Below are 13,308 nucleotides of genomic sequence, written 5' to 3'. Positions count from 1 at the left end.
ACTCCATCTTAAAAATAATAATAATAAGTAAAATAAATAGAAAAAGAAGAAGGAGAAGGAGAAGAAGAAGAAGAAGAAGAAGAAGAAGAAGAAAAGAAGAAGAAGAAGAAGAAGAAGAAGAAGAAGAAGAAGAAGAAGAAGAAGAAGAAGAAGAAGAAGGGGACCTTTATGTGGTCAACAAACACAAAAAAGAGAAAAGCTCATCATCACTGGAGACTAGAGAAATGCAAATCAAAACCACAATGGGATACCTTCTCACACCATGTTGAATGGCAGTTATTAAAAAGTTAGGAAACAACAGATGCTGGTGAGGCTGTGGAGGAATAGAAACACTTTTACACTGCTGGAGGGAGTGTAAATTAGTTCAACCATTATGGAAGACAGTGTGGTGATTCCTCAAGGATCTAGAACCAGAAATACCATTTGATCCAGCAATCTCATTACTGGGTATATACCCAAAGGAATATAAATCATTCTAGCATAAAGACACATGCACTCATATGTCTATTGCACCACTGTTTGCAATAGCAAAGACTTGGAACCAACCCTAATGCCCATCATTGATAGATTGGAAAAAGAAAATGTGGCACATATACACCATGAAATAATATGCAGCCATAAAAAGAATGAGTTCATGTCCTTTGCAGGGACGTGGATGAAGCTGGGAACCATTAACCTCAGCAAACTAACACGGGAACAGGAAAGCAAACACCATATGTTCTCACTCATATGTGGGAGTTGAAAAATGAGAACACATGGACACCTGGAGCCAAAGATCACACACTAAGGCCTGTTAAGGGGTTGAGGTCAAGGGGAGGGAGAAAATTAGGACAAATACCTAATGCATATGGGGCTTAAAACCTAGATGGCAGGTTGATAGGTGCAGCAAACCACCATGGCACATGTAAAACTATGTAACAAACCTGCACGTTCTGCACATGTATTCCAGAACTTAAAAACAAACTAACAAAAGTGCACTAAGTCTGAGGGGGAGTGGGGGTAAGGGCAGGAGTCAGGCGAGGGTGGGTGCGTCCTGGAGTTTTATCCAGTCATTGACACTGATGTGGGAACCGCCCAATCAGGCGCGCGGTGGCAGAGGAGAGGAAAGGAGGGCGTGGCTTCCTGCATTTGGCGGGATCTGTGTCTCTCGCTGGTGCTGGCACAGGAGCTTGGGATCTGTCTCCTCTTTCGCCTCCTGCACCTTGAGAGCCCTGGGCTACTCTGTCACAGCCCCTGTTGCCCTGCGATCTGTAGGTCCTTGGGGACGCATAGTTAAGGTGCCAGGACATCCTGGAAGCTGGGAAATGGTGAGTATACGGGGTTCGCCATCCCGAGAGGGGAGAACAGACTGTGAAACCGGCAGGACCGGCCTCCCCACGGTTAGCTCCGAGTCTCCCGCAGCTTGGCCCTCAGTCCCCTGTGGCTGCAAGATGGCCGCTGGGCCAGCAGCGAGGACCCCCACGTCCCGTCCGGCCCATCCGGTCCTGTCCCTGGGCAGCGCCCTGCTCTGCGCCCACAGCCATGAGTATTTCCCAAATTGTTCAGGGAGGCCAGATGGGTCATCAGGGAAAAACCGCGAGTGGGTGTTTGCGTGGGAGGAGCTGCGGCCCGTGGGGTCCACAGTCTCTCGTGTTAAAAATTAACGGGAGTCTATGTTAAAAGGTTCATCAGTTTATCTGAACAAAGAGTGATTGGTGAAATGGAAAGCACCCAGCCATGATTTCTGGTCCACCAGAGGGGCATAAAGGAAAGGCTTTCATAAGATGCATGAGAAAGCAACCCAAATTCAAGAATTGGTTCCAGTTATATGGTAGCCTTATTTGAACTATCCAGATGGAAATGTCCTGGTTACATATTCAGAGGTTAATTGCATGTTTGTCATGGGTTAAACCTGCATTTTGCTTCAGGCTAAGATAGTGTTTTATAGGAAATATATTTGAGTTAGGTTTTAGATTTTTTTTTGTTTGTTTTTTGTTTTTTACCTATGAACACAGGGCACTAGAGCCACTTTAGACTAATTTTCTGATCTTTAATTATTTTAACACTCCAGAGGAGGACTGGTTTTCTCCTGTGTTTTTTTAATGTATGGCAAGTGGAACCTCTAATCGACCACCCTGTTTTTCATCCTAACTCAGGCTTGCAGTAAAATTATCAGTTCCCACTTTCTTTGCTGCATTCTCAAACGCAACACATGAGACCAGCTTTCCCTTGCCAATTTACAATGCTGTTAACTATATGTCCTTTATTATACATTTCGTTAAAGTTTTCTATTATTGGGTTTCTTTCTACTTCTCCCTACAGTTCTGGCAATATTTGCTTTTTATATTTAGAAGCCTCCCTTTTGGGTGCATAAATATATAAAGCTATATTCTCTTGAGAAATTAACCTCTATTATTGTATGGTAAACTCATTTCATTCTTGTGAGAGACATTGCTAGAAAGTCTATTTTGTCTAATTTAAGCATTACCATTTCACTCCTTTGGTTATTATTTGCATGGAATATCATTTTCTATCCTTTCACTTTTAGCCTATGCTCTTAATTCATAATTGAGTCTCTTGTAAGCAGCATATTATGAGGTTTAAAAGATTAATTTATCCACTCTGTCTGCTTTAGTCTCTTTTGGCTGCTATAACAGAATATCACACACTGGTAATTAATAAAGAATAGAATTTTATTTGACTCATGATTCTGGAGGCTGGGAAGCCAAAACAACATTATACTGGTATATGTTGAAGGTCTAGTTGCTGGATAATAACATACACAAAGATGTGAGGGAGAGAGAGCTTTTTTTTTTTAATATATAACAGATCCATTCTTGTTATAATTAGCCCATTCCCATAATAAGAACGTTAATCCATTCATGAGGGCAGAGTGCTTATAGCTTAATTAATTTTTAAAGGTTCCACCTGTTAATTCTAACATGTTGGCTATTAAATTTTATCCTAAATTTTGGAGATGACATTCAGTGTACAGCAGTATCTGTTTAGTAGATACTTTAATCTTTTTATTTGTAAGGTAGTGATAGGTAAGCAGTTACTATTGTACATTTGTAGTTTTCTGTCCATTTTAAGTTTGCTTCTTTTTTTTCTGGTTCTGTCTTTCCTGTGGTATTGTTCATTTTTGTTGAGACAAAGTTATGCTTTCTTGCTCAGACTGAAGTGCAGTGGCATATCACAGCTCACTGTAGCCTTAACCTCCTGGGCTCAAATAATCGTCCCACCTTAGCCACCCAAGTAGCTTGGACTGCAGACATGTACCACAACACCCAAGGAGATTTGATTCTTCCACCTTGGCCTCCCAAAGTGTTGGAATTATAAGCAGGAGACACCATATCCAATGTGTAATTTTTGTTGTTTGTGTATGCTTTAATTACTTTCTCTTTTTCTTTACTATTTTTTTTTCCTACTGGTTATCATGAGACTTATGTAAAACATCTTGTATTTTAATAGTCTAGTTTAAGATGATAACAATTTATAGTATTCTGAAATTCAGTATGTATTTACCATTTTAGTGACATTTATACTTTAGTATTTTTCATATTGTTAGTTAGCATTTCATCATATCAATGTGAAGATTTCTTCCAGACCATGGCTGGAGAAGGAAAGAAGGTGTGTTTTGCCTGATTCAGGGACTATAGAGAGAACCAAGTTCTGCAGGCCTGTCATCTAAGTCTCAGGTGAGTATGAATTCTCTTGTGTTTTCCACAGACTGTTGCAGTGTCAGGACCAAGGTCAAATGAGTTATAGCCAAGTCTACAGTAAGATGTGGCAGTATTCTGTTTTGAAGCGAGGACCATGATTGGCAAGCTTGCCACTTGGTCAAGTGCTTACCCTCTAAAGATGTCTTCCTTGGTCTTTGCCTCCAGCTGGGTGTCACAAACTCTGAACTGGATTCCAAGGCTTTCATGAATGCACTTATGTTTGCTGTGGCAGCTGCATTATGTCGTGGGGGATGTGGATGCAGAACCTCCCATTCTGTCGTCTTGCTTATGTTACTCTCCTTTATGTTTCACTTTCTCAAATGAATGTCAAGCAGGTGATTTTCAGATTCAAAAGTTCTAAAATAAATTGCTCAAATTTACACATTATGTAAGCTGTTAATAAAATTTCTTGTAGGTGCTACATATTTATTAAAATTTTTGGTTGTAATTTTAAGCTCACTGTAGGCAGAAAGGAATCATTAAGATTTCTATTCTTTTTTAGTCTGTATCTAAATGACCATATATTTTAATTCCAAATATTTACTTTATACTTCAGTAATGCTCATTGTATTTTGCAAAATTTATATTGTTCTTTTATTTGAAAATATAAGGCTTTTTTTAGCTCCTGAAATCTATATTATAGTCATATAGTTTTATTATAGTATTTGATAAGAAGAGCAGCAACATATTGAGAACAGAATAAAATTCTGCTGTCTTTTTAATGATTATTTATTAAATTCTTCTCATTAAAGCCTATTATTAATGATTGTAATGTATTTACTGTATAATTTTACTGCAATTTATTAAATGCCAATGACTTCTAATGTCTGCTTTTCATGACTGCACACAGTTTAAAGCTGTAGATATCTAAAGGGTTATTTTTCAGCCCGGCACGGTGGCTCATGCCTGTAATCCCAGCACTTTGGGAGGCCAAGGTGGGTGGATCACGAGGTCAGGAGATCAAGACCATCCTGGCTAACACGGTGAAACCCAGTCTCTACTAAATATAGAAAAAATTAGCCGGGCATAGTGGCGGGTGCCTGTATTCCCAGCTACTCGAGAGGCTGAGGCAGGAGAATGGCGTGAACCCAGTAGGCGGAGCTTGCAGTGAGCCGAGATGGCACCACTGCACTCCAGCCTGGGCGACAGGGTGAGACTGTCTCAAAAAAAAACAAAAAGGGCTTATTTTTCATTGTATATTTATGTTGTATTCAGGATTTTATGCATTAAAATCTCTCTTCTTATTTTCAGTTCTGTGTTGTTGTGTTTCTTTTCTGGGGGGGTATGTTTTCTCAGAGCAGTTAATTGTATTTTTGCTTTTAAAGCTTGATATCATGAGTTGAATGATAATTTTTTAACTCGGTACACATTATGACAATGTGATATTTAATTTATATTTGAATTAGCTGTGTTTGTTGCTTATAGATATATCTATGTGTTTTTCACCTATGTAAGTATGTCATTTTTTTCATCTTTTTTCCTTGTTTTTTTTTTTAAGTTTCAGATATGCTTTCTTTTTCTTTTTTTTGTTTTTTTTTTTTTTAAAGAGAATTTTAAAACAGAGTCAAATGAACAAAAATCAGTTATTTGTCCTCTTGCAGGGCGGGGAGACCTTCCTTCCCCACGGGTTTGAGGCTATGGCTAAGTGGTGAGCCTTGGTGAGACGCAGAAAGGATCCATCCCAGGCACTTGGCTAGAGGTAAGTAAAAATAGCCTTTGGGCCAGAAGACCTGATAGTTTGGGTACTCGTCTGGACATAAGTCCCCATCTTCCCAGAAATGTCGTCTTTTGTCTGCAACAACTGGCTGGAGAAATATTTCAGAAAGATGTGTGCCTGGAACACCCAAAGGCATACCTTTCCTTTCTCCTTGGCATAGGCCTTGCAGCACTGAAGAAAGACCAGGTTTGCAACGGAGCCTTCAATACTCTTCATCCCTATGGATCTCAGGGGCTCATAGGGTGACAGGAGAGGAGACAAGCTAGCTTGGGAAGAGTCTTTGTCCTTCAGCTTCTCCTCTACTGAAACACTATATACTTGGGGCCACAGTTCATAGCAAAACACACATGCTGTCTTTCTTTCTCTCACACCCCCATCTCGGGAACCCAACAACTTGATGGCAGGTAGCTCTGGGTATCCTTGGTCTGGCATTCACCCACTGGGCATCTAAGCTGTCCTAAAGCTCTTTTCAATCACTTCTCACTGTTTCCAGGCCCATGTGGGTAGGTGTTCCAGCCTTCACTCTTTCAGGCTGTTCATAAAGGCACAGTGTGGGAAAATCCCCTACTGTGATGGCCATTGCTGGGAAGCAGGGAAGGTTAAGGGCCCACTGCTGCCCAAGGCTAGTGTAGACACCCTCTGCTCCTCCACTCATCTCCTCAAATAATGATATCAGGTGCAGCAGCTGCTGTCTGGAATGTTATCAAACCAGGACTGCACAGGCACTGCATTCTCTGTGTGGAAGATGTAAGAAGCAGGCGAGTTGTCCAGGATGAGTTTTCCTCAGGTCCCTCCCCAGATGGCTGACGTCCTTGACATAGCAGCCCTGGTGAAACAAACATGACTCATGGGACAGGCAGCCCCAGACCATCCCATACCCGTCCAGCTCACCCGTCACAGGATCTGCCTACTTGTTCAGGCTGGGAAGAAGAGAGCAATGACGAAAACACATTTAAACATTTCCTCCATTCATGTCAGGAACTCATCCATATAAGGCCTCATGAGCACATGGATCTGGTGCATGGTCCCCTCAAGCTCTACAGGCACTAGGCAGTCAGCATTGCTGATTGGCTTAAAGGAGCTATGCACAAGGGTTTCATCCAGGTCAGTGACCATACAGATCCTTCCTTGATTTTTCTCTGTCACCTCTGGGAGCAGGCAGGTTCCTGGGATCTGATAAAACTGATATTGGAGACGCTGGAGCTGATCCGACATAGCAATGGTGTTGACTCCCTCCTTATGTGTGGATTGCTCAGCGGGGGAACTTGACTGTCCAACATGCTGGGTGCAAGAACAGCAGAAAGGGGACTTTTAAGATGTGGCAAACATGAGGCCTCTTCGGAGAGGACTTTGGAAACCAGGCCTTGCTTGGTAAGGACCAGGGCATCTTCCCTCCATGCCTGGGTGATGATGGAGCCTTGTTCCATCTAACAATCCTGAGGGCTGGGCTGGGGGGCATGGGCTGGGGCCTGATTCAGTTCCCGAGATTCTGACCTCCACAGCTGTTCACATACCCCTTCTCCTTTCCATACTGGCCGGGAAGGGAGGTGGCTTGTAGGGAGGGTGGTTGGCCTTGGCAGCGGCTCCCCAGTGTGCCCCCATCCCCGATTCCCCCAGCGAGAGCTTCAAGATCCTCAGTTTGGGTCTAACATAGAGAATCCACCAGAAACACATTTTTTTTTCAAGTTTTATTTTAAGTTCAGGGGTCCATATGTGATAAAGTTTATTTTTCAACTTTTATTTTAAGTTTAGGGGTCCATGTGCAGAGTATGCAGGTCTCTTACATACATAAATGCGTACCACTGTGGTTTACTGCACAGATCATCTCATCACCCAGGTACCAAGCCCAGCATCCGCAGCTATTCTTCCTGATGCTCTCCTTCCCCTCCCCCATGCCATGAAACAGGTGTCCAGTGTGTGTTGTTCTTCCTGATGTGTCCATGTGTTCTCATTGATCTGCTTCTGCTAATAAGTTAGAATAATAATAGGCGGTGTTTGGTTTTCTGTTCCTGCATTAGTTTGCTGGGAGTAATGGCTTCAAATTCCAACCATGTCCCTGCAAGGGACATCATCTCATTACATTTTATGGCTTCATAGTGTTCCATGGTGTATGTGTACCACATTTCCTTTATCCAGTGTATCATTGATGGGCATGTAGATTGATTACATGATGTTGCTATTGTAAATAGTGCTGCAATGAACATTTGTATACATGTATTTTTAAAATAGAATTATTTATATTCCTTTGGGTGTAATGGTATTGCTGGGTCAAATGGTAGTTCTGCTTCTAGGTCTTTGAGGAATCTCCACACTCTCTTCCTCAATGCTTGAAATAATTTACACTCCCACCAACAGTGTAAAAGTGTTCCCTTTTCTCCACAACCTCGCCAGCATCTGTTTTTTTTTTTTTTACTTTTTATTAATAGCCATTATAATTTGTGTGAGATGGTATCTCATTATGGTTTTGATTTGTATTTATGCAGTTATCAGTGATGTTGAGCTTTTCATGTTTGTTGGGCACATGTATGTCCTCTTTTGAGATATGTCTGTTCATGTTCTTTGACCCTTTTTTAATGGGGCCTTTTTTTTTTCTCTTGTAAATTTTGTTAAATTCCTCCTAGATTCTGGATATTAGACATTTGTGAGATGGATAGGTTGCATAATTTTTCTCCCATTCTCTAGGTTGTCTGCTCTGATGATAGTTTCTTTGGCTCCGCAGAAGCTCTTTAGTTTAATTAGACCCCATTAGTCAATTTTTGCTTTTGTTGCTATAGCTTTTTGCCTTTCTGTCATAAAGTCTTTTCTCATGCCTATATCCTGAATGGTATTATCTAGATTTTTTCTTCTAAGGGTTTTATAGTTTTGGGTTGTACATTTAAGTCTTTAATCCATCTTGAGTTAATTTTTGTACATGGTGTTAAGAAGGGTTCCAGTTTAAATTCTCTGCATATGGCTAGCCAGTTCTCCTAGCACCATTTTTTGAATAGGGACACCTTTCCCTAATTCCTTGTTTTTGTTAACTTTGTCAAAGATCAGGTTGTTGTAGGTTTTTGGCTTTATTTCTAGGTTCTCTACTTTGTTTCATTTGTCTATGTGTCTGTTTCTATACCAGTACCATGCTGTTTTTGTTACTGTACTCTTCTAGTATAGTTTGAAGTTAGGTAGAGTGACACTTCCAGCTTTTTTTTTTTTTTTCTTAAGGTTGGCTTGGCTATTTGGGCTCTTTTTTGGTTCCATATGAACTTTAAAAGTTTTTATTTTTCTAATTCTCTGAAGAATGTCAGTAGTTCAATGGGAATAGCATTGAATCTATGAATTACTTAGGGCCATATGCCCATATTCATGATACTGATTCTTCCTCTCCATGAGCATGGAATATTTCTCCATCTGTTTTGTGTCCACTCTGATTTCTCTGAGCAGTTGTTTGTGGTTCTCCTTGAAGAGGTCCTTCACTTTCTTTCTTAGCTGTATTCCTAGGTATTTTTTTCTCTTTGTAGCAAATGTGAATGAAAGTTCATTCATGATTTGTCTCCCTGCTTGCCTGTTGTTTGTGCATGGGAATGCTAGCTACTTTTGCACATTGATTTTATATCCTGAGATTTTGCTACTGTTGCTTATCACCTTAAGAAGCTTTGGGCCTGAGACAATGAGGTTTTCTAGATGTAGGATCAGGTCATCTGCAAACAAAGATAATTTGACTTCCTCTCTTTCTATTAGAATACTCTTTATTTCTTCCTCTGGCCTGATTTTCCTGGCCAAGGCTTCTGATACTATATTGAATGGTAGTGGTGAAAGAGGGCATTCTTTTCTTGTGCCAGTTTTCAGGTGGAACGTTTCTAGCTTTTGCACATTCAGTATGATATTGGTTGTGGGTTTGTTGTATATGGCTCTTATTATTTTCAGGTATGTTTCTTCACTTCCTAGTTTATTGAGAATTTTAAACCTGAAGGAATGCTGAATTTTATTGGATGCTTTTTCTGCATTTATTGAGATAATCATGTGGCTTTTTATTTAGTTCTCTTTATGTGATGAGTCACATTTATTGATTTGCATTTGTTGAATCAACCTTGCATCCTGGGGACAAAGCCAACTCCATTGTTGCAGATGAACTTTTTAATATGCTGCTGGATTTGGTTTGCCAGTATTTTATTGAGGATTTTTGCACAGTGTTTACCAAAGACATTGGCATGATGTGTTGTTGTTGTTGTTGTTGTTGTTGTAGTATCTATGTTAGGTTTTGGTATCTGGATGATGCTGGCCTGATAGAATGAGTTACAGAGAACTTTGTCTTCAATTTTTTTTGGATGGTTTTAGGAGAAAAGGTACCATCTCCTCTTTGTACCTCTGGTCAAATTCAGCTTGCTTGGTAGGCTAGTTATTACTGCCTCAGTTTCAGAACACATTATTGATCTATTCAGGGTTCAGTCTTGTGGAGGGTTTATTTTGCAAGGAAATTGTCTATTCTAGATTTTCTGGTTTATGTGCATACAGATGTTTATAGTGTTCTCTGATGGTTGTTCTTATTTCCATGGGACCAGTGATGATATCTCCCTTATTATTTCTAATTGTGTTTGGTTCTCCTTTCTTTTCTTATTTATTTGCCTAGCTAGTGTTCCATCTAGTTTATTAATTTTTTTCATAAAACAGCTCCTGGATTTGTTGACTTTTTTTTTTTGGAAGAGTTTTCAGTGTCTCTATCTCCTTCAGCTCTACTTTGATCTTGGTTATTTCTTGTTTTCTGCTACCTTTCTGGTTAGTTTTCACTTGGTTTTCTAGTTCTTTTAATCAAGATGTTAGGCTGTTAACTTTAGATCTTTCTAGTTTCTCTTTTTTTTCTTGTGGCAGAGTCTCACTCTGTCACCCAGGCTGGAGTACAGTGGCATGATCTCTGCTCACTGCAACCTCCACTTCTCAGTTTTAAGTGATTTCTGCTGTCTCAGCTTCCTGAGTAGCTGGGATTACAGATGTGCATCACAAAAACCAGCTAATTTTTGAATTTTTTTTTGTAGAGGTGGGGTTTTGCTGTGTGTTCCAGGCTGGTCTTGAACATCTGGCCTTAAGTGATTTGCCTACCCCAGCCTCCCAAAGTGCTGGAATTACAGGCATGAGCCACCACGCCCAGCCCTTTCTAGCTTTTTGATGTGGACATTAGTGCTATAAATTTCCCTCTTTTCTTGGTTTCCAGTGATTATTTTATTCTATCTTGGTGAGTCATCAGGGAAATAATCTTAAATTTACAATCAACATATAGTTTAAATCCATATAATTGTGTGAGAATAACCCTTTGTTATTTGAAGGTGATGTTTGAAAGGTTTTCTAACTGTGCCTTTTAGTTAGTCTTAAATTTCTAATTGTAGTTAAAAACATGCCATTGTCATTTCTGAAATTTTAAGTATATGGTTTAGAAGTGGTTAGTATAGTTCTATTGTTTTGCAGTAGCTTTTAGATAATTTTTGTCTTACAAAAGTAAAAGTGAATACTCATTACTTGTGAAAGAAGTTAGTTAGCTTACCTTAGGTAGATAGCAAGAGAAGAGTCCCTGGAAAGTCCCTGGTCAGTGCCTCATCCCTGCATAACATGTAAAGAAGCCTGGAAAAAATCAAGCTGCAGACACTAACAAGGGAACTAACATATGTTGTTGTGCTTGGAGACATGCCCGTGGCTGCAGAGATAGAAAAACCTCTGGCCCATTTGGATAAAAACTTGTACAAACCTCCAGCTCACTCAGATAAAGGAACAAGAACGACCTAGCACAGAAATGCCTTTGTTTGGCCAGCCACGGTGGATCATGCCTGTAATTCCAACAATGTCGGAGGCAGCTGTGGGCGGATCATCTGAGGTCGGGAGTTTGAGACCAGCATGACCAAGATGGACAAACCCTGTCTTTACTAAAAATACAAAACTAGCCAGGCATGGTGCTGCATGCCTATAATCCCAGCTACTTGGGAGGCTGAGGCAGGAGAATCGCTAGAACCCAGGAGGTGGAGGTTGCTGTGAGCCGAGATCGCACCATTGCACTCCAGGCTGGGCAACAAGAGCAAAACTGCAAAAAAAATAAAATAAAATAAAAAAAGAAAGTACATCTCAAAAAAAAGAAAGAAAGACAAGAAAAAGAAAAAAAAAAGAAACACCTTTGTCTTTGTACAGTCAGTGGGCTCCCAGGAAAATGTTCCTTCTCTTTTTGTTGGCATGGACACTGTGGAATCTGGTACATTCCGGTAGACATTCTCCTTTATTTGGACTGTAAGTCTGACCTCTATGAATAATTACTTCAGCCCCTGATTGCTCCCGTGCCAAGCTCCTTGGCCAAACTTTCACCTTAGCTTCTGGTAAGTCTTGGGCCAAGCTAAGCAGCATCTATCAATCATCCCTTCAGCTCCTGATTGGTCCTGGGCCAAAGGCCTGGGCCAAGCTGAGCCACACGTTTTTCAAGACAGCCTGTGAACTAGGCACATATCCTTCCCTTCCCAGTCCATAAAAACCCTGGACCCAGCCTCGTAGAGGGCACCACTTTCAGACACCTATCTCTGCTGGCAAAGAGCTTTCTTCTCTTGCTTCTTAAACTTTCACTCCAACCTCACCTTTGTGTTTACACTCCTTAATCTCCTTAGAGGTAGAACAAAGAACTCTGGATGTTATCTCAGACTACGAGAGACTGTTACATCTTGGTGCACTGCTGAGACTATGACACTTGGTTTCTTTGAGTTTGACTAAATATTTTACATGAGTGTAATTATACAGCTTTCCTTTTTGACTGTCTTATTTTACTTAACAGAATGTTTTGAATATTTGTCCTTATTGTAGTACTTTTCAAGATTTCCTTATTTTTAAGGCTGAATGCTATCCCAGTGATTGTACGTGCCCTGTTTGCTGAATCTACTCATCCTTAAGGGTACATTTGCTTCCAGGTAACATGTTTGTGACTAATACTACAATGTGCATATATCTATTCCATGTTCTGCTTTGTCTGTTTGGGATATTTTTCATACACTGATTCAGTACCATGTGTATTCCCTTGCTTTTGTTGTCTCATCCGTTGATGTTACGTCCCCCAAATTATTGCCACGACCAGTTGTCATGAAGCTTCACCCTTCTGTATTGTGCTAGGAATTTTACAGCTATAGGTTTTACATTATAGTCTTCATTCATTTTTTAAAATTGACACATGTAATTGTGCATATTTTGGGGAAACAATTATATATATATGTTGTATAACAATAAAAATCAGAGTACTTCTATACTTGTTGCCTCATGCATTTGTTATTTTTGTGGTGAGAATATTCAAAAGCTTCTTCTCTAGCTATTTTATTTTATCTTTAAGTATTAAATTTTTTTAGAGACAGGATCTTGCTCTAACACCCAGACTGGTGTGCAGTGGTGCAATCTTAGCTCACTGTAACTTCAAACAGTCTTCTAACCTTAGTTTCCCAATTAGCTGAGACTACAGGAAGCTGCCACCATGCCTGGCTAATGTTTTAATTTTTCATAGAGACAGGGTCACACTATGTTGTCCAGGCTCATCTTGAACTTCTGACGTCAAGTGATTCTCCTACCTCAGTCTCCCAAAATGTATGGATTGCAAGAATGTGCCACCGAAACTGGTCTCTTTTAGCTATTTTGTAATATGAGATAACTTTTCATTAATTATTATTATTCTACTGTGTAATAAAAAACAAAAACTTATTTCCCCTATCTAATCATAACACAATACCTGTGAAGCAACCTTTTCCCATCCTCCTGCTTCAGTCTCTGGTAACCCCTGTTGTACTCTTTGCTTCTATCAACCCTTTTTTTCAGGTTCCTCAAATGAGTGAGATAATAAGATCATAAAGTATTTGTGTTTCTCTATGTGGCTTATTTTACTTAACATGGTATGCTCAAGGTTCATCC

General features: G+C 40.0%; 1 long non-coding RNA gene and 1 pseudogene across 4 annotated transcripts; one reads left to right on the top strand and one right to left on the bottom strand.

The window, feature by feature from the left end:
* Nucleotides 1–1,124: 1,124 nt before the first annotated feature.
* On the top strand, nucleotides 1,125–12,658 carry LOC105379499 (uncharacterized). Of its 4 annotated transcripts, none has more exons than NR_188604.1 (5): nucleotides 1,125–1,307; nucleotides 3,586–3,677; nucleotides 5,303–5,400; nucleotides 6,577–6,789; nucleotides 12,251–12,658. It is a non-coding gene; the product is annotated as an uncharacterized LOC105379499 (long non-coding RNA). The 4 variants fall into 4 exon arrangements; NR_188603.1 differs by having other exon boundaries at nucleotides 3,575–3,677; NR_188605.1 differs by lacking the exon at nucleotides 6,577–6,789.
* LOC102724822 (carboxy-terminal domain RNA polymerase II polypeptide A small phosphatase 2-like) lies at nucleotides 5,432–6,845 on the bottom strand (annotated as a pseudogene).
* Nucleotides 12,659–13,308: the final 650 nt, after the last annotated feature.

This window comes from Homo sapiens, chromosome 21, assembly GCF_000001405.40.
Source record: "Homo sapiens chromosome 21, GRCh38.p14 Primary Assembly".
Lineage (NCBI taxonomy): Eukaryota > Metazoa > Chordata > Mammalia > Primates > Hominidae > Homo > Homo sapiens.
Note: the sequence above shows the minus strand (reverse complement) of the source record. Positions and strands in the feature narration are given on the sequence as shown.